The 25,305-nt window shown below is 52.1% G+C and overlaps 1 protein-coding gene and 1 long non-coding RNA gene across 16 annotated transcripts in view, besides 2 other annotated features; one reads left to right on the plus strand and one right to left on the minus strand.

The window, feature by feature from the left end:
* Window positions 1-11,295, minus strand: part of SLC47A2 (solute carrier family 47 member 2) — a 40,663-nt gene extending 29,368 nt beyond the window's left edge. For 9 of the 15 annotated variants that reach the window (XR_001752432.2, XR_001752433.2, NM_152908.5 and 6 more), the window contains exons 1-8: window positions 8,749-8,900; window positions 7,432-7,533; window positions 7,037-7,105; window positions 6,141-6,289; window positions 5,019-5,061; window positions 1,032-1,076; window positions 618-823; window positions 62-159 (exon numbers count right to left, since the gene is read on the minus strand). Coding sequence is in view for 11 of the 15 variants with exons in the window: in NM_152908.5 (NP_690872.2) it covers window positions 62-159; window positions 618-823; window positions 1,032-1,076; window positions 5,019-5,061; window positions 6,141-6,289; window positions 7,037-7,105; window positions 7,432-7,533; window positions 8,749-8,871 (835 nt within the window). In the remaining 4 variants the exon portion in view is untranslated. Of the gene's footprint in view, window positions 1-61; window positions 160-617; window positions 870-1,031; window positions 1,077-5,018; window positions 5,062-6,140; window positions 6,290-7,036; window positions 7,106-7,431; window positions 7,534-8,748; window positions 8,901-10,426 lie in introns of those variants that run through there. The other 6 variants (NM_001099646.3, NM_001256663.3, XM_047435435.1 and 3 more) reach the window with 4 other exon arrangements.
* Window positions 6,662-14,744, plus strand: LOC124903948 (uncharacterized). The gene is made up of 2 exons (XR_007065659.1): window positions 6,662-7,551; window positions 9,690-14,744. It is a non-coding gene; the product is annotated as an uncharacterized LOC124903948 (long non-coding RNA).
* Window positions 8,378-9,227: an enhancer, noted in NCBI's record as "H3K4me1 hESC enhancer chr17:19619375-19620224 (GRCh37/hg19 assembly coordinates)". NCBI's record gives its function as "activates a minimal SCP1, AML or CMV promoter by ChIP-STARR-seq in naive H9 embryonic stem cells {active_cell/tissue: H9 hESC(naive)}" and the evidence as "EXISTENCE:reporter gene assay evidence [ECO:0000049][PMID:30033119]".
* Window positions 9,228-10,075: an enhancer, noted in NCBI's record as "H3K4me1 hESC enhancer chr17:19620225-19621072 (GRCh37/hg19 assembly coordinates)". NCBI's record gives its function as "activates a minimal SCP1, AML or CMV promoter by ChIP-STARR-seq in naive H9 embryonic stem cells {active_cell/tissue: H9 hESC(naive)}" and the evidence as "EXISTENCE:reporter gene assay evidence [ECO:0000049][PMID:30033119]".

The following is a 25,305-nucleotide window of genomic DNA, read 5'->3' on the forward strand; positions in this document are numbered from 1 at the left end:
AAGGCTAGGGCAGCACCACCGCTGGCCTGCTCAGCCTCCCAGAGCAGGCCAGGCCTCCCACCTGCCCACGTCTCCAGGTGCAGCTTCTTCAGCACAATGTAGAGAAGGAGGAAGACGGTCTGTGCAAACTGGGAGATGATGTTGGCATAGGCGGAGCCCCTGGGTAAGGAGGGAGAACAGGGCTGCGACTGATGCCAACTCTCTGCCACCGCCCTGCCTGAGAGAGAGGTGGCTCTGGCGGCCAGCCCGTGTGGGGCAGGCATGGCTCTGCTCTTCCCCCATCCTGGGATCAGACTCAACCAGGGCCCACAGGCACCTCTGGCCATGGTGGCTCTACCAAGGCAGCCGTGACTACAGTGTCCTGGGGGCCACCTTGCCAGTGCCCACTTCACCTCTCCTGGTGGGCTTGGGCAGGAGCGGGGAGTGGCTGTCCTCTCACCCAATCAAGCGTCAAACTGAGGTCCCCAAGGGACCATCAGGCCCCTCCAACTCCCCATAACCCTCCACTTCAGGACGGCACAGGCAGGGCCAGGATGGTGACTGATCTGTCTCCACCAGGGGTGGAGAGCTCAGTGGGCAGTGTCCCCTGACCAGGCCCCACCAGCCCCCGGGCTCACCTGACCCCCAGGTTCAGCACAGAAACCAGGGCATAGTTGGCCACACCGTTGACACAGTTGCCCACCACACCACTGAGGACTTGGGGCCAGGTGATCTTCTGAAATAAATGAAAACTGGCCCTGCTAAGGTGTGAGTGAGATGGATGGAGGATGGACAAACCCGGGGTTTGGAATGGGGACTCCTCCTCCTGCCCCTTCAGCCATCCCTGTTGAGGAGTTGGAAGAGGCTGGGACGCACAGCCTCTCACCTGCCTCTGTGCGGGAGGTCAGGATATGGCAGGTGGGTTGGAAGTGACCCCTTTCAAGAGCTGGTTCACAGATGGTGGAGAGAAGGGGAAAGCCCCAGGCCCCCCTCCCACTGGAATAGGGCAGTGTGCTGGGAGAAGGGCCTCCCCACACACCAAAGACCTGTACCTGATTTTGCAAATATTTTGCCAGCAGATTGTAAAGAAAAATCACCTGTATGAAAAGCAAACCCAAACAAATCAACAATAATGACCAAAACTCACCAAATGAGCATTAACAGACATTCCTTTCCAGGACATAGTACCCCAGATTGGGGAAATTACTTCATCAAAGTATGTCTGGGACCTCTCAGGTGCGGCCAAAGCCTACCCAGCCACCTGGACTCATGCTCGGGCCCAGCCTATGGAAGAGGCCCCCTCAGGGCTCCCTTCTGCCACAGGGGAGATGAGCAGGCATGCTTTGGCTCAGAGAGAGTACTCTTTGCACACATGCTCATAGTGCACAGTGCCTGGTAGGCCTTCCGGCTGCTAAGCCAGGCTTCCATCAGCTTAGGAAGGTGAGAAGTGACCCAAGGACCTGTTCACAGAAGGGCCCACTTTGGTTCTGGCCTTAGAGACAGGATTTGAAGGTGTGACTTCGGACGAGGGAATGGCAGGTACTGAGACATGCTGGCCGTGGGCAGCCTATGCTAAGCAGGTTCAAGACCCTACGGGGGTGGCGGGCCCTTCCCTGGCTGGGGAGGACCATAGGGGAGTGTACGTGGCAGTGTGTGTGTTGGGGGGCACTGTACCTACCCTTTCTCTCCTCTCTTAAGGGGAATAGAATAGGCATCAACTGAAACCTAGCCCAGGGCCCTTGTCCCATTCCTTCCTGTAGCTCTTCACTTATTTTCAGCATAGTGTACTGATTAAGAGTACAGAGCTGGAATAGACCGGGTTTAATTCCTGGCTCTGCCTCTTCTGAGATGTGTGATCTTGGGCAAGTTACTTAATCTCCCTGAGTTTGTCTCCTCATCTGTAATGGGGATAATAATAGTGTGTGTGTGTGTACTTAATATACACTTAATATTTTACATACATAAATATTGCAAAGTTAATATTGCAAAGTGCTTACCAAATGATATATGGGACATTTAAGCATTCCAAGTGTTAGCCACTAACATAACTATGTTAGTGTTATTAGTCACTATTATTGGCAATTAACTTTTGCAGCTGCATTTTATGGAAGGACTTTGGCTTGACAAAGAAGACACCACAGTGACATCTTTACAGGGCATTTCCCCCCGACCCAGCCCCAAAAATCCTGGTTGACAAGATGCCATCACCTCGGTCTGAAAAGCCAAAGTATGGATTATGTGGAAGACTCAGAGGAGAAGAGCAGCCCTATAAGGGGGTTTCCGTAAACCAGAAAAAAATCTGTAACCAGCTAGGCCCCAAAAAGGTCATGGCACTGGCCTGGCAGAGAGGTGGGTGTGGCTGGGTCTGCTGGGACTGCACACTGTTGGGACACCCCACCTTCACCCTGACCTCTTCCCTGCCCAGCTCCCTTGCCCCAAACATTCCCCCTGGTGCCATGGAGGCTACACTGTCAGAAAGTGAGCTGAGCCTGGTAGGGCTGTCTAGCACACAGAACTGCCAGTCGTAACAGGCATCACTAAGCTGCAAGTCAAACAGTGAAGCACTGGGCTGCAGAAGAGACATACAGATCCCCGGGTCACTGGACATACAATCACTGACCTAGATAGATGTACTGTTGATTAATTAACAAATTAATGCAGAAAGGAGAGAATATGTAATAAATGGTGTTCAAAAAAATTTTAGTTGGATTAATATCTTAAATGTAAAAATAGAAACCCTGGAAGGGTCCAAAAAAGTATAAGCAAATGTGTATATAATCTTGCAGTGGGTTAAGTCTTTTTTTTTTAGACAGAGTTTCGCTCGTGTTGCCCAGGCTGAAGTGCAGTGACACAATCTCGGCTCACTGCAACCTCCACCTCCCGGGTTCAAGCAATTCTCCTGACTCAGCCTCCCGAGTAGCTGAGATTGCAGGCACCCGCCATCATGCCCAGCTAATTTTTGTATTTTTAGTAGAGACGGGGTTTCACCATGTTGGCCGGGCTGGTCTCGAACTCCTGACCTCAGGTGATCTGCCCGCCTCAGCCTCCCAAAGTGCTAGGATTACAGGTGTGAGCCACCGTGCCCGGCTGGGTTAAGTCTTTTAAGCTCGTTAAAGACATAAGGAATAGGACTTACATACACATTCACAAATCTTTTTTTTTTTTTTTGAGATGGAGTTTCACTCTTGTGAGGCTGGAGTGCAATGGTGGGATCTCAGCTCACTGCAACCTCAGCGTCCTGGGTTCAAGCAATCCTCCTGCCTCAGCCTCCGAGTAACTGGGATTTCAGGCATGCGCCACCACACCCGGCTAATTTTGTATTTTTAGTAGAGAAAGGGTTTCTCCATATTAGTCAGGCTGGTCTCAAACTCCCAACCTCAGGTGATCTGCCTGCCTCAGCCTCCCAAAGTGCTGGGATTACAGGCGTGAGCCACTGCGCCCAGCTCAAAATTCTTTAAGTCAGAAACATAAGCAGAATAAAAGGCAAACGACAAATTGGAAAATATTTGAGACAAAGGATTAAGATATTATTTAATAAGAAGTACAATACTTAGAAAAAGATTAACCCACTAAAATAAGCGAAGAGCTATTCACATAATAAGTACATGAGAAAATGTTCAACTTCATTATCAGTAAAAGAAATGCAGGCCAGGCGTGGTGGCTCACGCCTGTAATCCCAGCACTTTGGGAGGTGGAAGCGAGTGGATCACCTGAGGTCAGGAGTTCGAGACCAGCCTGACCAATATGGTGAAACCCTGTCACTACTAAAAATACAAAAATTAGCTGGGCATGATGGTGGGTGCCTGTAATCCCAGCTACTCGGGAGGCTGAGGCAGAATTGCTTGAATCTGGGAGGCAGAGGTTGCAGTGAGCGGAGATCGTACCACTGCACTCCAGCCTGGATGACAGAGCAAAACTCCGTCTCAAAAAAAAAAAAAAAAAAAAAAAAAAAAGAAAAGAAAAAAGAAATGCATGTTAATACTATTTCTAATTGGAAGAAATCTTTTAATAATAATAGTCTATGCTAGTGGAAGTTTTTGCTGGTGGGAGTAGAAATTGGTAGTTTGGCAATATGTCTCAAGAGCCATTCACTGAGCCGTCCACTTCCAGTAATGCATTTCTGTAATTGATAGTTTCCTTGAAAACCATCTGTAAGATGATTCACAAAGATTTTTTTTTAAGAATATTTACCACAAATCTTATTTATAATAGTTCGTATTATAAATAGAGATTGGTTAATAAGTTATGGCCTAACTATGGGTACCAGATAACCTTTGGAATTAATATTGTGGAAGGTTATTTAGTCCTATAAAGAGACTAATGACATATTTTAAAGGGAAAAAGCGTATTATAACCCAATATACACATACTGATCCCATTCCAATTTGTGTTTATGTGTGTGTTTGAATACACACACCCGTGAATAGAAATAATCCTGGAGGGCCGGGCACGGTGGCTCACATCTGTAATCTCAGCACTTTGGGAGGCCGAGGTGGCAGATCACTTGAGGTCAGGAGTTCAAGACTAGCCTGGCCAACATGGTGAAACTCCATCTCTACTAAAAAATACAAAAATTAGCCAGGCGTGGTGGTGCATGCCTGTAATCCCAGCTACTCCAGAGGCTGAGGCAGGAGAATGGCTTGAACCCAGGAGGCGGAGGTTGCAGTGAGCCAAGATTGTGCCACTGCACTCCAGCCTGGGTGACAGAGCAAGACTCCATCTCAAAAAAAATCAAATCCTGGAGAGAGATAGTAACATATGTTCTCTCTGGGTGGTAGAATTATAGGTGATTTGAATTTTCTCTGCCTCATGCTTTTCGTATTTTCTCCAATAAACATTTTCAAATCAGAAAAACATGTTATACTATTTTTTTTAAATTCAATTTGCACCAACTGCAACGGGAACTTTTGTCAGTCACCCTCATGGCCCAGCAGGAAGTCACAGCAGGATAGGGATCTTCCGCAGCAGATAGAGTGGGAAAGCAAAAAGCCAGAATTTAGGGGAATGTGATTCCACGCTCAGCAAACAGGGGCACCTACCGGAAGTCCTGGAATGAAAATCATTACATAGTCCTGGGTCAACCTGCAAGAGAGGGAGAAGCTCCGGAGCTGACCAGGCTGTGGCCCGGGGAGGCAGGGCCCTCTCCCCTGTGTCCTCCAGGACTGGGTGCTCGGCCGCTGTCCCAGGGTCTCAGCCAGGACTGTGAAACCTCAGCATCAGGGGCTGCTGCTTCCAGATGGTAAGCAGGTGCCAGGAGGGGCAGCCGAAACACCCAAACACCCAGGCCTCAGGATGAGGGAACTTAAATTCAGAGTAACGTGGTTCGTAAGAAAAAAAGGTTATATCTTAAAAAGGAATAACCAAATGAAATGTACATAATATAAATGAACAAGGCATCCCTATGAGAGGGATTTATTATAAAATAAATTTAATAATAAACTATAGGCCGGGTGCGATGGCTCATGCCTGTAATCCCAGCACTTTGGGAGGCTGAGGCAGGTGGATCACGAGGTCAGGAGATCAAGACCATCCTGGCTAACATGGTGAAACCCCGTTTCTACTAAAAATACAAAAATTAGCCTGGTGTGGTGGCACGTGCCTGTAGTCCCAGCTACTCAGGAGGCTGAAGCAGGAGAATCACTTGAACCTGGGAGGCAGAGGTTGCAGTGAGCCAAGATTGCACCACTGCACTCCAGCCTGGGCGACAGAGCGAGACTCTGTCTCAAGTAATAATAATAATAATAATAATAATCATCATCATCATCATCATCTATAATTCATCAAAAAGTGGTTGTCATCTTTCTCCTTTTCGGAATATGGGAAAATGCACACACTTCATTTCTTCGAAAGCATCTGTAAAGCTCCAACTGTGTCCGGGCACACAAATGCAAATAAAATGCAAATCCCAAATTGTTTCTTGCCTTGCCTTCTAAATTAAAACTGGGCGTTTGTCCGCCTCTGTCCCTGCTGGTCACTGCTGGAGCCGCAGCCATGGGGAGAATCCCCAAACCAAAGCCTGGAAGGTACCCACAGGCACCGTGCACTGTGAGCACTCGTGGCCTAGAGAAGCATGGGGTGTGAGGGCTGGGCATCTTCAGGGTTTCCCTCGGCGGCCCGGGTTTCCCAGCAAGCCCCACCTCCCCAGCCGGAGCCCAGCGCACCTGGACACGTCCGGGTCCTGCCGGAAGAGCAGCAGGATGTGCTGGGTGTTGAGGAAGAGCGCCCAGCAAGGGAGGCAGCAGAGGAGCAGGACCAGCGCGCCCCGCTGCAGGATCACGCCCACGTGCTTCTTGTTGGGGCTGCCGAAGCTCTGCAAAACAGCCCGCCCCGCGTCAGCCGTTTCCACTGCCCGGGACATTCCTAAATCCCGCGCGGGGAGCGGGCTGTCAGCGGCGCCAGCGGTGTGTGGCGGACCCGGCGGCCTCTGGTGACCACAGCCTGGCGCCCGCAGCCTGTAATGGCACAGCGGCCTTCCTGAGCCTGGGCCTACCACTGTCTCCACTGTTCTTCCAAAGCTCCAAGGAGGACGAAGGCACATGGGGCTTCATCACATGTCAGCGGCAGGTTAAGTGGAGCCAGGACAAAGCCCAGGTCCACCGTGAAGCTAAAACCCCCAGGGAGAGGTGAGGCCTTGCCGCTTTGTGACCCCATGGCCACCTGGGCAGCCCCTGCTGGACTGCAGGCCCCTGCAAGCAGGGAGGTTCCTTCTGTGTCCCCTTGGCCTTCGACACATGCCTGCATGTAGGCAGCCGAACTTAGGATTGAGGCTGGGGAACCGGTTGTCTTTCTCTACTTGGTGACCTCCTCTGGGGGCAAGAGATCAGAGAACTGTCTCCACCATCTCCACCCCTTTCTCCTGGCCCAGACTCTTTCAAAGGGGAGGGTCTGTTTCCCTGACAGCCTGTGGTCCTTGGAGGTAGGGCAGGGGCAGCTGACCCCAGGGCCCATTGCTCCCAGATCACCTGGCTGCGCCCCTCCCACCTGCCATCTCCATGGCACCTGTGGAATTGGCTCTGCCCTTGCCTGGCTTCCTGCCCAGCTCCAGGAGGCCACCCACCTGAGACATCAAGGTGTCACATGCCGAAGACAAACCAACTCCTACAGAAACTCCGCAGACATTGACAAACTGGCGCCACACACAGGAGGAAACAAGAGCTTGTCAGGTGAGGCCTGAAGAGAGGCCCCTGCATCTGGGCTGAGCCAGGGTCAGGAAATGCTGCCCAGCAGGCAGCGGTGGCAGAGGCTCTGCTCAGCAGCCTCATGTGCTGTGTGCCCCAGGGCCAGACCGCCTCCATCTCCGGCCCTCAGGTTCCACCTGTGAAGGCAGCTGTCCAGCCACGTGGGCTGTGTCTTCCCATCCCTGACCAGCCACCCAAGACGGGCCCACCCGGGAACCCGGTGGAGAAGCCTGGGGAGAGAACGTCCCTGCTCTGGGCCAAGCTGGGTACTCACGGCCACCGCGAGGGTCACCGATGCCAGCTCCACCTTGCCCAGGTGCCCGCAGAACACAGTGCTCACGATGTAGATCATAAAAGTCAGCACCTGGAACAGGAACTGGAGGACAGCGGCCAGGTCAGACTCGGGGCCACAGGTGCCCACACAGCCGAGCCCTGCAAGACAGGCCTCTCCAGCTTTGAGGGCCCCGCACCAGTGCCCCGAGAGGTCACCTACGCCTGGGGAAGCCAGGGCTGGAGGTCGGATGACCTAGCCCAGCTCCCATTCTGCGTTCTGCAGCTGCAGTCACGCCTGGCCTCCACGTCCCTACCCAGAAGGGTCAGTGCCTGGCGCAGCGCAGTGCCTGGCGCCCTGAGCTTGACCCAAGTGTCTGATACTGCTATTGCAGTTCCTATTATAACAATAATTTGGTCAGGCCGCACACCCCCAAAAAAGGAGGGGAATTAAATACACCAAAATCTTAGTAATGGCTATTTCCAAGTACTAGGATTTGAGTTAAATTTCTTTCTTCTTTATATCTTTCATTTTTTTCTAAAAGTTTTACAGGAAGTGCAATTCCATTACTCCTTTTTGGTTTTGTTTTTTTTGTTTTTTTTTTTTTTTTTGAGACGGAGTTTCGCCCTTGTTGCCCAGGCTGGAGTGCAGTGGCGCGATCTCGGCTCACTGCAACCTACCCGTCCCGGGTTCAAGCGATTCTCTGCCTCTCTCTCCCAAGTAGCTGGAATTACAGGCGCCCGCCACCATGCCTGGTTAATTTTTGTATTTTTAGTAGAGTCGGGGGGTTCTCCATGTTGGCCGGGCTGGTCTCCAACTCCTGACCTCAGGTGATCCTCCCTGCTCGGCCTCCCAAAGTGCTGAGATAACAGGCGTGAGGCAGCACGCCCAGCCTATTCCTCTTCATGATCAGAAAAAATAAATGTATTTAAAACAATTTCCCCTTTGGAAATGAAATGGGTAGCCGGCCCCTTCTTCCCCCTGCGAAGGTGCTGCAGGCTTCATGCATCTCTGGGTCCCATTTGTCCTGGAGCCATCTTCCAACTCAGGCTTTTGTGGGTTTCCAGCTGAGGCACACCCACCCCTTCTGTGTGGGGGCTGCCTGCTGCTGAGCAAAGTCAGGCCCCACTGCCACTGGGGATTGTCCAGAGACAGCTTTCAGGAGCCATCCTGCTGTCCCCAGACTCTGGACCTGGCAGTCAACATGGGCAGTTTCTGGGGAAAATGTGAGCACATTTCTGGATCCTGCCTGCAAGGCAGACACCCTCAGCCTCTCAGCTTCCTCCACTCCCTACCTGCCCCCCAGCTCCTCCTCCTTACCAGGGGTCCAGAAAGGGCAAAGAGAGTCCACATCTCAGTCCCAAAGCCTCTGGGAACCAGCCTGCTGAGGGCAGGGCAGCAGCCCCCATGGTCCAGGGCCACTGTGTCCTGGAGGCTGTCCATTCCTGGCCGGGGCACTGGCTACCCTGCACGCCTGAGCGCCTGCACGGCCAGCTTTGTCCAGCGAGCCACCCCCTGCCTGGGCAGCCCGTGTCGGTACAGCCTGGCTGATGAGTAAGGGGCAGGAGGAGGGGCTACCATGGCAACTTGTGGGATGAGCCCTGCCTCCTAGGGCACTGAGTCCCTGCTGCCAAGCCTACTGCCTCAGCCACTAGGGAGGACAGGTTCCTGGGAGTCACCCAGACCGCTGCCTGTTGTGTCTGGTCTCCCAGAGGGATTGGCAGTAAGGCCTCAGCAGGAGAAGGTCCAGGGCTGCCTGCAGTGGCTGTGGGAGGTGTGCTGAGGCCAGGACAGGGCAGCCTGGCTGGGGCAGCTGAGCCACTGGGCGTCCTGTACCCGGGCGTGATGGTGCCCACAGTGACTCCCGTTTTTCAGAAGAATTGGTGGCCTGCCCGAAGTCACAGAGCAGGTGGTGGCAGAGCCTGAACAGCCCTCAGCCCTGCTTTTCCCTGGGAGGGGTGGCTTCCCAAGAGACAGGGGCCTGGCAAACCCCATGGCAGTGCGGTCCCTAGCCTTTCATGCTGGAGGGGCCTGGGCCTGGGCCTGGGGATAGGGATGGGAGCTAGGACACCTCGGCGGAGTCCCAAGCCCCCCACTGCCCGTCACCCCTTTCAGCAGCATATCTGAGAGCCAGGGGTGGCAGTGCTTGGGAAAGCAGCTCACTATGCACGCCAGTCACTGTGCCCAGCAAGGCTGTGACTCGACGTCCCACAGGGTCCTCTGTCACCTTCCCAAATTGCCCTCTCTGCTTTTCCTTGCAGGGATGGCCTGTGACTCCCCCCTCAACCTGCCTCAAGACCAGCAGGGCAGTGGGAACCAAGAGAGGCATCTAAGGATTGCACCGGTCACCTAGCCCAGTCCTGGATCAAGCTTTTGGGTGTGGTTCAGCCCAGGAGAAGGAGGAGTGAGCGAGGGGGGCAGGAAGACAGCAGGCAGGCTGGCCAGTGGCTGTGGGAGGGCTGAAGACATCCCAAAGGCCCCACTTGGTTCCCATGTCCACCCCTGCAGCGGAGGAGTGGCCGGCAGGATTCCGAGATGCAGCCCCCAGAGCCGCGAGGAGGAAGGAGCAGACCCTGAAGGAGAGGAGGCAGGACAAATACAAAAAAAAAAAAAGGGTTTGCTACACCCATGGGCGGCCCCAAACACAGGCACAGCCCCACCCCAGTCAACACGCAGCCTTCTTTTTTGACACAGAATTCTGAAACGCTCCACTGGATCCTCCCAGGATCACCTGGGAGGTCACATTCCTGCCCTTGTTCTGATGGTTCTTATCACAGCACTCTCCAACCTGTGCACCAAATAGTACCTTTACCACCTGCCTAGAGGAAAGAAGACATTTTATCACCATCGTGATTGTGATGATGACACCAAACAGGAGGAAGTACAGGTGAAAGCTACAGCCCTGCAGGCCAGGCTATTGCTAGTATGTCTGACTTCCCTCCTCCAACACCTTCTCCACGTCCTTCTCACCTTTGGCCAGTTCTCATGGTCAGCCTACCTCTTCCAAAAGGGCAGCCGCAAATCCTCCTGCATCCAGGGGACCTGGGCCTGGGGTCTCTGTTATGTGAAACCAGCTGCTTCCAGCTGACAGGGCCTCTGGGGAGAGCAGTCACCTGCTGGCCTTGGCCTGTCACCTCCTGTCGCAGCATTGCAGTGAGCCCTGCAGCCAGAAGCAATACTTCTTGGGAGCCCATGGCGATGGGGGTGTTCAGGGAGCCCACACGTGGAGGTATAGGCAGAAGAATCCATCTCACTCCAGGTCACTTTTAATGAGGACAGCTGGTTCCCGTGCCCCCACCAAGCTGGAAGGTGTTCAGTGCAGACGCCCCGCCATCAGCTCGGTGACATCAGGCTTTATCCAGAGCTGACCAGTGTTCAGCACTCAGCTGCACAGGACAAAGGTCGGGTCATCTTCCCGAGGGCCAGTCCTAGGCCGAGCATCTCCAAAATCCCTTCTCAGGAACATTCCCAGGATTTTTGTGATAGAAGCCAATGCATTCCTACATTTTCTTCGGGAAGACACTCTCCTCCTACACTCCTCTCAGAATTTCAATCCCCAGACCCCAGTGGGTTTGACCCTGGGGAGGAGCAAGGGCGATTACTGACTCCACTGCCATGCATTGGCCGCCCCAGGCAAAGGTGGTGCAGGCAGAGTGGGGGGTGGGGGGAAGCCACCTCCTCCAGGTGAGGGGTGTCAGAGCTCCGTGAGTCCTCCATAGTCTCCTGGCAATGCCTTCAGGCCCTCCTTTTGTGGTGGTAACTGCAGACTCAGCAGCACCGCCCTGCAGCCACCTGCAGACTCAGCTCCGAGTTGGGTTTTCCAGGATTCTGCCCCGGAACCTGAGATACTTTGAGCGGAGCTGCACATGGCCCCTGTGCGCCATCCTGTGGCTGGGGCGGGGGGAGCCTCCGAGACTTCAGCCTCTGCCCTCTCTCCAGAGCTTCCAATGCTGTCAGGAGCAACATGCCACCCTTCAGTCCTGCATCTTCTGTGGTCTCAGATACTGCACACAACAGACGGATCAGCAGCTCACTCTCAGGAACAGGGCTGCCAATCCCCTAGAATATACAAGCAAGTCCGGGCGATGCTGGACCCTTTCCCTTCTCAGCTGATCACTTGTTTCCAAGGCCCTTATTTCCTGGGGCACATGGCCTATGACATTCTCCCGATGCCAGTTGCCGTGTCAGCCACGTTCTCTGATGGAAACAGTAGAAACGAACTGGGATCATGTCAGCAGATGGAAGAAGGGAGGAAGGGGGAGAGGAGATCATTATTGCCAGGTGATACAGAAGAGGGCTGAGCCGCCAGCCTTGAGAAGGGAGACTCTGGACTCTCAGGGTGATTCAGGGAAAGGTGACTCAGCCCAAACACCTTCAGTCCCAGAGGCAAATTCCTGGAAGACTGGGGCAAGAGCCAACCTGAACAAGAATGGAGGTGGAAAGGGTGGGAAGGAGGGAAGCTGTGAGCTACCTGAAGTGGGGCAGGGGGCCCCCCAGAGGATGGGATGCTATGAAAGTGAAAACATGGCTACACACCCTGCCTCATTTATCTATTACCAGCCCCCCCAAAATTGGTGTCTTAAAACCATTATCATCTGTGTCATGAGTCTGTGCGGCGAGTTGGGTGGTCCTTCTGCCTCCCCTAGTCTAGCTGTGTCTGCAGTCACCGGGGACTGGCCCAGGCTGGCCAGTCTTCCAGGCTCATGTCCAGGCCGCGGTGGGTGCCTGCTATCAGCTGAGACTGTCAGTCGGAGCATCTCCACCTCCCCTCATAGGACCTCCTCATGCACCACGGGCATCTCAGCATAAAGTGACCTCCCCGTGCACCACAGGCATCTCAGCATGGAGCGACCTCCCAACGCACCATGGACATCTCAGCATAGAGTGACCTCCCCACGCACCATGGGCATCTCAGCATGGAGCGATCTCCCCGCGCACCACAGGCATCTCAGTATAGAGTGACCTCCCCACGCACCACGGGCATCTCAGCATAGAGTGACCTCCCCATGCACCACGGGTATCTCAGCATGGAGCGACCTCCCCGTGCACCACGGGCATCTCAGCATGGAGTGACCTCCCCACGCACCACGGGCATCTCAGCATGGAGTGACCTCCCCGTGCACCACGGGCATCTCAGCATGGAGCTGGAACAGAAGACAGGACATTCGATGGTGCAAGTGGAAGCTGCATACAGGTCAAGAGCCAGCCTGGGAGGTCCCCATGCCCCTCTGCCTCATCCTGTTGACCACAGCTAATCATGGACTCGCCCAAATTTCACAGGAGAGGGAACAGCCTCCACTTCTAGGTGGGAGTGGCCGAGAGGCCATGCCTTTAACCAGCACTCTCCTCTTCCTCCTTTCTATTCCTCCCTCTCCATTCTCTCTTCTGCTCTCTCTTGTGCCACCCGCTGTCCACACTTGGCCCCGAGCAAGGGCAAGCAGATAAAGACCCCTGAGGTCAGTGATGAGAGGACTCACGCATATCGAGGACCTCTTTGGGGAAGGAGGACCCAAAGCTACAAAATCCTAGGAATGGCAGGAGGCACGGGGAGAGGCAAGGGAGTGGAGAGTCCTGGCAAGCCCCCAGCACACACCCTGGGATTAGGGAGGCTCCCAGCCAGCAAGAGGAAGCTTGACCCAGGGGGAGCTGCTCCCCCAGCCCCAGCAGCCTCGCTGAGGCAGAGCCAAGAGGCATGTGGGCATGCCAGGAAGTCCCCCTCACTTGAGGGCTCAGCTCCTGCAGGCTCGGAGCCTGCTGGGGGCAAGGGCCAGGTCCTTGGGCCCTGCCTTCACGTGACTAATTTCCTGGAGTCCTGCCAAGTACAGTCTGGGTCCAGGGCCTCTGTTAACCTTTTCTCACTTGGTTACACCTCACTGGGCCCAAAGGTGTTGCATTTGCCCTTTGGCTCCCAGAGACATGCACCACAAGGGCTGTGGACCAATGTCCTTTCCTCTAACCCCTCTCCGCTGCCTCCTGACTGCAAAACACCCATTTCTCCCTTGGGAGGGTGGGGACTCTGGCTGATGGCTCAGCCCCACATTCAGGGCAAAGGACAGTTGGGGAGGATTGAGCTGTCCGCCCCCTGCCTCGTCCCCCAGGTCTCCCACCAGACAGTGACCAACAACTGCTAAATCCCTGAGGCGCCCCTCCTCCACTCCTCCTCAACTGTCTCATAGATTTTGGCAGCTGCCTCTCTCTCTCTGCCTCCACCTAGTACCCTCTCCCTCCATCCCTCACCCCTTCCTATCTTCCTCTCTCCCTCCTCCCGCAAGGTCTCCCTGGGCACCTTCCAGGCCCAGGTGCTGCACCCCTAGAAATGACCAGGGCTCAGTCCCTGAGCTGACATCACCCCTCCCAATCCTGCAGGCCAGGGGAGAGACAGAGCCAGCTGGCAAAGCCCTCAGCAAGTGGCGGCAAGACCCCCAGAAGACACTGCCAAGTGCTGGAAGATGGTGGGCCTTTCCATCTGGAGAAAAGCTACGATAAATAAAAATAAATATTACTCATCAATAAAAAGAAATGAGCTATCAAGCCACAAAAAGATATGGAGCAACCTCAAATGCATATTGCTAATCTAATTGGAAGAAGCCAGTCTGAAAAGGCTGCATACTGTACAATTCCAACTCTATGATATTCTGCAAAAGGCAAAACTATAGAAACAGTAAGATCAGTGGTTGCTGTGGGGGTTCGGGATGAACAGGTGGAGCACAGAGGAGTTTTAGGGCAGAGACACTATTCTGTAGGATCCTGTAATGGTGGATACCTCGCATTATTTCTGCAAACCCATAGGATGTACAACACCACTAGTGAACTCTAATGTAAATTATGGACTTTAGTTCATAATAGTGTGTCAATACTTGTTAATCAGTGGTAACAAACGTACTACTATCCTCATGCAAGATGTCAATGGGGAAACTGGTGGGGAGGTGGGGGTGGAGGTCACGAGGTCACTGCAAACTCTGTTCTTTCTGTGCAATTCTGTAAATGTAAACCTCTAAAACAGAAAGTCTATTTTTTAAAATGGTACACAAAATAATAACAACGGGGCATTTCTTGAGATCTCTAGGGAACATGTCCCCCTCTTGCCCATGCATTTCATGTTGGATCCAGAATGCAGCAGCAGCACTTTTCACAGTTGCCAAAAACTGTGGCAAGCTCAAATGTCCATGCACTGATGAAAGGAATCGCAAGATGTGGAATATCCAATAATGGAATATTATTCAGCCATAAAAAGAAATGCAGTATTGATCCACTAAAAACATGGATGAACTTTGAAAACATGATGCTATGTGAAAGCAGCCAATCACAAAAGGTCAGAAAGTGTGTGATTCCATTTCTATGAAATGTCCAGAATAGGCAAATCCATAGAGACAGAGAGTAGACGAGTGATTTCCAGAGGCTGGCAGAGAGCGGGCAGCGGGGGGTGCGGGGCACATAGGGTGACAGCTAAGCGGATATGGGGTTTCTCTGGGGGGTCATGAAAATGTTCTAAAATTGATTGTGATGCTGGTTGCACATCTCTGTGAATCTACTAAAAGCCATTGAATTGTATACTTTAAAAAGGTGCATATGGCGGCCGGGCACAGTGGCTCACACCTGTAATCCCAGCATTTTGGGAGGCCGAGGCGGGCGGATCACGAGGTCAGGAGATCCAGACCATCCTGGCTAACACCGTGAAACCCCGTCTCTACTAAAAATACAAAAAAAAAAAAAAAAAATTAGCCGGGTGTGGTGGTGGGCGCCTGTAGTCCCAGCTACTCGGGAGGCTGAGGCAGGAGAATGGCATGAACCTGGGAGGCAGAGAGCTTGCAGCGAGCCGAGATCGTGCTACTGCACTCCAGCCTGGGCGACAGAGTGAGACTCTGTCTCAAAAAAAAAAAAAGGTGCATATGGCATGTGACTTTTATCTGAATGAAGCTATTTATAGGTGTGGGGGGAGGGATGCTGTAAGCTCTTTACACACCAAGGTTATATATATGTTGGGACGGTGAAGAATTGCATGTGCAAAGATAGATTTTTACATTTTGGGAAAATGTATAAAAGAGGCTGGAGGCTCACCTGCAAGGCGGCCAGGATAGTGGCAAGAGAGGTTGTCCGTTCAGCCTTGTCATATTTGTGGGGAGCTGCCACCCCAAGCCCTGGGCCCTGGCAAATTTCCAGCAGGAGTCCCAGAGCCTGAACATTGCGCTGAAAGAAACTCCATTGCCTCATCCAAATGAGGGCCTGAGAGCTCTGGCAGCAACCCTGGGTGGCAAATTTGGGTTTAAACCAGTTGCACTTTATCATCACTTAGGAAGCTTTCGCCCCTCCTCAAAAAAAAAAAAAAAAAAGAAAGAAAAAAGAAAAAAGAAAAAACCGCTATCCAGGGCCCGCCCCAGACATTCTGATCGGAAATTGGCCCAGACAGCTGGGGTTTTTTTGCCTGATTTCTTTTTTTTTTTTTTTTTTTTTTGAGACGGAGTCTCGCTCTGTCGCCCAGGCCGGACTGCGGACTGCAGTGGCGCAATCTCGGCTCACTGCAAGCTCCGCTTCCCGGGTTCACGCCATTCTCCTGCCTCAGCCTCCCGAGTAGCTGGGACTACAGGCGCCCGCCACCGCGCCCGGCTAATTTTTTGTATTTTTAGTAGAGACGGGGTTTCACCTTGTTAGCCAGGATGGTCTCGATCTCCTGACCTCATGATCCACCCGCCTCGGCCTCCCAAAGTGCTGGGATTACAGGCGTGAGCCACCGCGCCCGGCCGCCTGATTTCTTTAACTTCTTATTGAAGTATATCATTTATACAGAAAACTGTGCACGTGTACACCTCCTTGGATTTTCATAAAATAAATGCACTTGAGTAACCAGCAGACAGATCAAGAAACAGAACTTTGGTGGCTTCCAAGCCCCCTGGTTTCCCCTTCCAGTCACTGTCCCTTACCAAGGGTAGCCACTGCTTTGACTTTGGGCACCAGAGAATCATTTGCCAGGCATTCTTCTAAACCTCCCTCTCTGATGTGCAGCTGGCGCTGAGAGCCACAGGTCTGGACACATTCACCCTGGGGCTAGGGCAGGGCCCAGCTTCTCAGCATGTTGCTGCCAGACTTGATCCCAATTAGTGTCCTTGGCAAAGATGGAGGGGTGCAGTGCCATTGTGCTCAATGGTTACTTCTCAAATTAAAAGGTGCATGTCCTGACTCTCCTAGGACTGCCTGATATGGGTGGGCTACTGAGCCTGGCTACTGTTGGCTCTACACCTATTTGTCCCTGAGGTTACCCTTCCAGGCACTGGCAGGGCTGTCAGGTCTCAGTGACTTGATACTGCTTATCCCCGCCATCCCCTCCCAACTTGGTCAGCCCTCGCCAAGGGGAGGATTCGGGGTCTGTGAAGCCAGCCCAGGTGCGGTCCAGGGAGCAGGCGCTGGGGACTTGGGTGCCCAGCCGCAGGGATCCCTCTTAACTCCACTGTCCTCATCGGGCGGAGACCGGCTGGCATGAAACACCGGGCTTTTTGAGGTCAAAGCGAGGCTTCGCCCACGCACGTGACACCGCCAGGGCGCGCAAACAGGAAGCCCGAGCCCGGGCTGCAGGCGTTGGCACCGCAGCACTCGACTGGCCTCTCTCTAACCGCAGGTCCTAACTCAGAGCAGCCTCCGGCGCGGGTGGCGCGGATACCGAGGCCTGCGGGGGACATCCGCCGCCTGGAACGCCCCGCCCGGTCAGCCAGCCCCTCAGGGGCGGCGAGCGCGCCCACCCGCTCCCCGTGGACCCTGCCCTCGGGGGCTGCACAGGTCTCCCCAGGACGCGTGGCCCCCACACTGGACCCCCGGACAGGCCCTGCCCACGGCCTGGAAGGCGTGGTCCTGTGTGCCACGTGACAGCCTCCGCGCGGGCCGCAGGGGGTTGGACACCTCTCCCAGGATGGACCAATCTTTTTTTTTTTTTTTCAAGTTGAGACGGTTTGAATGGCATCTGTTCCTCCTAACCCGTGACCCCTGACTGACTGTGTGAGGCCTGTCGGGAGGTCTCCACTTCAGCTATCTCCCCATCCACAACCTCACTGTCTTCATACTGACCCCACTGAACAAAGCCTGGCTTTACCATCCTTCCTCGTGGGCCTTGCTAGGAGGCAGACCCCTAGCCTGAGGGCCAGGGGGGCTTCCAGACCACCCAGCAGGCCATTTCTTGACCCATCAGACCTATGTTAGCCTGCGGGGAAAGAGGACATCCCCACCTGCTCCTCATACCTGCACGCCCTTCGTGAGGTTGTTTGTTTAACCCAACTGGAATGAGAGAAAGGAAATACATAATTTAAGCTCACTTCAGATAGACTTGGATTACATTCTGATTCTGCCACTTTTTCGTTGTGTTGACCTTGGGCGAGTCATTTACTCTCTTTAGTTTGTTCCTTCCTTGTAATAAAATTACATATGATCCAGCAACTCCATTTCCATAAATACCCAAAAGAACTGAAAGCAGGGACTCAAAAAGATATTTGTGCACCCATGTTCACAGCAGCATTATTCGCTACAGCCAGTGGTGGAAACAGCCCTAGTGTCCATCAGCAGATGCGTGAGTCACCAAAATGCGGTACATGCATATGACGGAATACTACTCAACCATAAAAAGGAAGGAAATTCTGACAGATGCCACATATAACATGGATGAACTTTGAGGACATTTTGCTGAATGAAATAAGCCAGACACAAAGGGACAAACACTGTGTGATTCCACTTACCTGAGGGACTTAGAGTCGTCAAATTCCAAGAGACAGAAAGTAGAATGGTGGTTGTCAGGGGCTGGAGAGAAGGTGGGAGTTGTTTAAAGTGTAAATTGTTTCAGTTTTGCAAGATGAAAAGAGTTCTGCAGACTGCTTGCACAGCAATGTGAAGGTATTTAACTATTGAACTGTACACTTAAATCGGGTAAGATGGTAATTTTTTTTTTTTTTTGAGATGGAGTCTGTCTCTGTCGCCCAGGCTGGAGTGCAATGGCGTGATCTCTGCTCACTACAACCTCCACCTCCTGGATTCAATCGATCCTCCTGCCTCAGCCTCCCAAGTAGCTGGGATTACAGGCGTGCACCACCACACCCAGCTAATTTTGGTATTTTTAATAGAGACAGGGTTTCACCATGTTGGCCAGGCTGGTCTCGAACTCCTGACCTCAAATGATCCATCCACCCGCCCCGGGCCTCCCAAAGTGCTGGGATAATAGGTGTGAGCTACCTCACCCAGCCAAGATGGTAAATTTTATGTTGTGTGTATTTTATCACGATTAAAATACAAATAAAAACAAACCTGACATACAGTATTGGTACAAGAAGGAGATAGGCTAACATAGATGTAAGTGTCTGGAACCTAGTAGACATTTATCCAATGTTATGGTCCTTTTTTCTTTCATGCTAAAATTCTGGGTCCTTGGCTCCTGATGTCTTAAAGACATAGACTAGATGAAACTCATTTGTAAGTAGCCCAGACATTACTTATATATCAATGAACACTGTAAAAGTTCTCAGGTTTCTTTTCTTAAGTAGGTTAAATAATCTGCATAACACATTTTGTTACATAACAAATATTTTTGAAGAAGGAGTAAGAGGAGGAGAACGAGGAGGAGGGGGGGGAGAAGGAGAAGATGACTCCTTTGGCTTGGAAAGAAAACTTTGGCTTGGCGTTTAGCATTTTCATTTCTACAAATTCCCCACAGAATACGTCTGAATGGTGTGTAGGAGTGTATGTGATGATGTAATGATATATGTAGGAATCGGAGCCTCCATTATGTGCTAATTGTGCAGCACGAGACACATCTCATTTAATCTCATTTAATGCCAACCTTTTCAGGCAGATATACTTATTCCCATTTTACAAATGACAGGATTGAAGCTCAGAGAAAGAAAGTACTTGCCCAAGGTCACACTGCTAGAAAGTGGCAGACTCAGAATATGAGGCTGAGTCTGTCTCCTATCCAAGTGCACATCCTTTCTACTTCATCTGGGATGACAGATAGCTTTTCTCCAGCCTGCCAGTTCTACTCTGTTGTACTGCATTGCTATATTGTGAATTCAGCGGATTCAGCAAAGCAAACAAGAGTGCGGTGATCAACTTGTAATGTCTGCCATGGACACTGGATAGAGGAGTAACAGTATGTGTGCTTATGGAAAAACCTCTCCAACTTACATCATAGTGAGCACAGGTTTAGGAGCAGAACTAGAAAGAAAATATTTTTTTCTGTCTGTCTAGCAACTGTTGGCCTGAAAAAGAACTCAGTGTCAGAATGGTCAGGAAGGCCCAGCCTTCCTACTGTCAGGGTGTCTAGCCGGGGCTAGGTCTCTCTGTCCTCACCCCTTTGCCTTCCCAAGGTAGGGAAGGTGTAGAAAATCCAGTTGGGAATTTCTGGTAGAAACTTCTACTCCTGGTGCCAATTTCTACCAGTCAGCTACCCTGTAAACTTCTATCAGGCATACAAGCCTTGGGAAACAGAGAGCTGTTGTCTTGCTCAAGCACAAGTTACCAGCAACAAACATTTGTTTCCCAGCAGATCACATGAGGACTTGTGAGATCATGTCTGGCCCTGGCTCAAATAGAAGATGTTCCATTAAAGCAGTTCCCGGGGACCAGGCCTAGGCAACTTTCCTAGGATGGGCAAGGCAGTTGTTCGGGAAGCTTGGCACCTGCACAGCCCCATTGTCATGTGAGGAAACGAAGGGTGTGAGCTTTCCCCCACCTGTCCACTTAGAAGCGTGGGTCAAAGCAGAGAAGAGGGGATATCTCCTTCCCATCTGCCCTTGTCCTCCCACCCCACCCAGGCTGAGGTGCCTCCTACTCCTCCTGCTCTGCTAAGAGGCTGAGATCTGTCTGAGCTGTTGGCAGAACCCTAGAAAGTGCTCCCAGGTCATCCCAGGCCTCCCAGAGGCAGGGTCTGGCAGGGTGGAGAGCTGCCATCATGGCAGAGAACTGCAGCATCAGGCAGGGAAACCAAGGCAGGGCCCAATGGGTGTGGGTGAAAGCTGCACATCCAGAAGTACACGGCTTCCCCCAGGCACCGCAGATCCTGGCCCTGAACGACAAGAGTGCCTGACCTCACGATTGCCAGCAGCTGCCTGTCCTGCAAGGCCTGGCCCTGTGCCAGGGCAGCTGCTTTGCGTGTGGCTGCCTCTCCTGCCCAAACAATTTCTGTTGCCTTTAGGAATGAAGGAGCTCAGGCCAAGCCCAGTTGGTGTTTTCAAAATTTCCTGTAAACAAAGGAAAAGATGAAGCTTATATAACACCCTTGGCTGGAGAATCAGCGGCTGCTTGGCATAGCTGAGAGAGAGGCCTGGGCGCAGACAGTGGTGTGTCCAGGCAGGCAGGGGCCTGGGTCATCCCTCTCAGGACTATTCTTTCTGAACCTTCTGCAAACTCTCCAGTGACCTCTGGGGCCCATTTCAGAGGTCTGAGCAGCTCAGGCTTGGAGAACCACAGAGCTAGAAGGAAAAAGTATTGGAAATAATAAGAACTAATATTCATTAGCCCCCGATTAGGCGCAAGTGCTTTACCTGCACAATCTCATTTAATCCACACCAACCCTAGGAGGCAAACACTGAGGTAACCAATTAGTAGCTGAAAGATAGGCCCGGGGGTGGGCCAGCCACCCACGTTCACATGGTTGGGTATGATCGATCACTTGGCCCTCAGCTTCCCTTCCACCTCCTGCTCACAGCTCTCTATGCAGCAGCAGCTAAAACCCACATTTCCCAGACTCCCCTGGGGCAGGGTTCCAGGGAAGAATGAAGTTCTGCACTTCAGATGCACTTGTGTGAGAGTTGGCTGCTTCGGGCCAGGCGCGGTGGCTCACGCCTGTAATCCCAGCACTTTGGGAGGCCGAGAAGGGTAGATCACAAGGTCAGGAGTTTGAGACCAACCTGACCAACATGCTGAAACCCTGTCTCTACTAAAAAAAAAAAAAAATTAATTAGCCGGGCGTGGTGGCAGGCGCCTGTAATCCCAGCTACTGGGGAGGCTGAGGCAGGAGAATCACTCGAACCCAGGAGGCGGAGGTTGTGGTGAGCTGAGATCAAGCCACTGCACTCCAGCCTGGGTGACAGAGGGAGACTCTGTCTCAAAAAAAAGAAAAAAAAAAAAAGAGTTGGCTGCTTTGGTTGCTGGGTTTCCTGCACTAGTGATCTCTTATCCAGCAGCCGCTTCTGTGAGTGTCAAGAAGCAGTTACAGTGGTGATGGCAGTGCCAGCTTCCCAGTCCCAGCTTCCCTTGGATTGAGCCCATGACAGGAAGGTTTTGTTTGTTTGAGATGGAGTTTTGCTCTTGTTGCCCAGGCTGGAGTGCAATGGCAAGATCTCGGCTCATTGCAACCTCCAGCTCCCAGGTTCAAGCGATACTCCTGCCTCAGCCTCCCAAATAACTGGAACTACAGGTGTGCAGCACCACGCCCAGCTAATTTTGTATTTTTAGTAGAGACGGGGTTTCACCATGTTGGCCAGGCTGGACTCAAACTCCTGACCTCAAGTGATCCGCCCGCCTCAGCCTCCCAAAGTGCTGGCATTACAGGCGTGAGCCACCGCTCCCGGCCGACAGGGAGTTCTTGACTTTCACAGTTGCAGGGTGGCCTCAGGTGGGTGGTGTGTGTGCGCAGGGATCTGCACAAAGACTGGCGTTGCGCGGGTGTCTACAGTCTGGAGGCCCTGCTGACGCCCTGCAGTCCTGGGGAGGAAGAGACTTGGAGGGAGGAGGTGCTGGGAGGTCTAAGCAGAAGTCTCAGGAGAACAAGCCCGCCCTGTTCAGGAGACACTGGAACAAGGAGTACACCAAGCGGTAAGAGGAGGAGAGATAAGAGGCTCTCAGATGTAAGTAATGGGAAATGCTTCAAAATGGCAAAATGGCTTGAGGAAAAGAAAATTTGTTAAAGGGAAGGCAGCTCCAGCAGCTCATTCACATCCCAGAGCAGCCCAGGGGCATCATCTCCCTACTAAGCCGGTCTCAGCCCGCCGGCCTCGCCTCAGGGCTGTCCTCATGGCCACAAGATGGCTGTGCATTCCAAGTTCACAACCAGACATGCCACTCTCTGGCGGGAGAGGGGTCGCCCTTTCTTGTGCATCTGTTTTTATTGGTGCTATGATCTGAATGTTTGTGTCCCCCTAAGCATTCAGGTGTTGAAATCCTTGTCCCCAGTGTGATGGTATTAGGAGTTTGGGGCCTTTGGGAGGTGATTAGTGCCCTTACAAAAAAGGCCTGAGGGGCCGGGCAGGTGCCTGTAATCACAGCACTCTGAGAGGCTGAGGCGGGCAGATCACTTGATGTCGGGAGTTTGAGACCAGCCTGGCCAACATGGTGAAACACCATCTCTACTAAAAATACTCTACTAAAAATTAGCTGGGCGTGGTGGTGCACGCCTGTAATCCCAGCACTTTGGGAGGCCAAGGTGAGTGGATCACTTGAGGCCAAGAGTTCGAGACCAGCCTGACCAACATGGTGAAACCCCATCTCTACTAAAAATACAAAAATTAGCTGGGCGTGGTGGTACACACCTGTAATTCCAGCTACTCGGGAGGCTGAGGCAGGAGAATCACTTGAACCCGGGAGGTGAAGTTTGCAGTGAGCCAAGATTGTGCCACTGCACTCCAGCCTGGGTGACAGAGTGAGACTCTGTCTAAAACAAAAAACAAAAAACAAACAAATAACATATAACCCAGATATAGTGATGCCCTGGCTCTAGCCTAGAACATAGGATGAAAATCTCAGGATCCTAAGCATCATCATTTTTAAAGAAATTTTCAAAATTGAATTCTGTTAACAATGAGGGAGGAGGAACAGATTTGCACAGGCAACAGCAGTGTTTGCCACGCTTGCTCAGTCCAGGCAGTCAGTCCAGCCACTCAAGGTGACTCCAGAGAAATTTTGGGAAAGAAGGGGACTCAGAGAAGGAGCCACCCTGCTGTCCCCTGGGCAGGGCTGGCCCACAGCAGAGGCGGAGCTGAGTCCAAGCCTGGCACCAGTCCTCCCTGCAGCCTTCTGGAGTGTGAGCTGGTGAAGTTCCTTTTTTAAACTTTTTGAATCTTAGTTTGCTGCTATTTCAACATCATCCTGACAGATTGGGATCCGGGAAATGTCACCCGCTCAGCCTTGAGTACCCCAAAGTGGGATGAGCAGAGAGGTGGCCAAGGAGTAGAGGGGAGTCCCGGCAGAGCAGTGAGGGCTCTGGAGCCGGGGGCCCCACATTCAAGGCAGATGGTGTGGGAACTGCCTGGATGGCAGCAGTTGGGGGAGAGGGGACAAGAGTCATTGCAGGTCAGGGTTGGAGCTCAGGGGCCCGTGCCCTACCTTTCCCTCAGGCAAGTCCTCAACCAATGGTCTCTAAACACCAGCACACCCCTCATGACCTGCATGGCGTGGCCTGGCTTTGTAGGGTAGTTCTCATGTCACTTTATTCCTGTGTTTATTGTCTTTCTCTGTCCATGCAGCAGGGACATTTGCTGCTCAACAAATAACGACTGCTCCTCCACAGTTCCCAGAACCCTTTCAGCTCTGGGCTGTGGTCCTGGCCAGTGGGCTATGAGTGGAGGTGATCTGGGGTGGCCTCTCCAGTTCTCCCTTCCCTGCTTTGGTGAACCCCTAGCCCTGCACTGAGATGGTGAAGGCTCTGTCAGCTCCTCTCTGGTTGACCTTGTGGAGCAGAGCTCCCCCAACCTCCTCTGTAGCCGCCGCCATTCTGAGGTTAACTTGTTCCTGCCGCATAACCCTGCAGGTCCTGCCGAAGACGCTCCCATCAAGGTGAGCTCCTCGAGCGCAGTCCCCGCCACGACTGCCTGCTGGAGGAACCCATAGGTGGGCGCAATCTTCCCTTCTGCTCTAGAACATCAGGAGACAGAGGGCATCAGCAATGCAACAGAGACGGAAGCCTTTTATGGCTTGAGACTTTGCCTTTTAGTTTCCTGTTTGGGAGAGACTCTACATTTTCTTTTGTTTTGCTTTGTTTTTTTGTTTGTTTGTTTTGAGACAGAGTCTCACTCTGTCACCCAGGCTGGAGTGTAGAGATGCTACCTTGGCTCACTGCAACATCTACCTCCTAGGTTCAAGCGATTCTCCTGCCTCAGCCTCCAGAGTAGCTGGATTACAGGCACCTGCCACCACACCCAGCTAATTTTTGTATTTTAGTAGAGAAGGGGTTTCACCATGTTGGTTAGGCTGGTCTCAAACTCCTGACCTCAAATGATCTGCCCGCCTCAGCCTCCCAAAGTGCTGGGATTACATACATTTTTTTTTTAATCTGAGAATCTAAACACCAGGAGCAATCAATGGACTCAACAATGGCATGCTATGGCTGTGGCTCCTGGGCAGAAGTAGGCCCCCTTCTGTGCACCATGCATAGCATGGCATGGATTGCAATGTGCAATCCGGAAATGTCACCTGCTCTCCTTGGTGACACGAGAGTTGCGATTATCCTTGGTCTTTATGTTTTGGACAATAGCAATTATGTGGAAAGGTTGAATCATAATTGGGCAAATATTTTTTTCCAGCCCATTCCTTAATCCATGTCATAGAAAGAAAAAACAGTAGATTAAATCATGGTGTTGGGACTAGACCAATTTTTTTAAATTGCTGTTTTATTTTAAATTGAGATCTAATTTGGAAATAGAATTAGTTCAGAAAAGGTCAGACTTGGGGCATTATGAATAAAGTAGGTAATATTGTAAATTGTGTCATACTAACAACACATAGAAAAAGGAGATGGACGAGGATGAAAAGAAGAGGAAGAGGAGAAAGAGGTGATTATGATTCTCACCCACCTGCTCTAATTCTTCAGTTTGGAAAGTGCAGATAATGTCCTTGGGAACCCTTAGCTTTCTCTCCTCCATTCTGAATGTTTCCAACTGCGTCAATAGCTCCTGATGCAAAGGTTTTGAGGAG

This window comes from Homo sapiens, chromosome 17, assembly GCF_000001405.40.
Source record: "Homo sapiens chromosome 17, GRCh38.p14 Primary Assembly".
Lineage (NCBI taxonomy): Eukaryota > Metazoa > Chordata > Mammalia > Primates > Hominidae > Homo > Homo sapiens.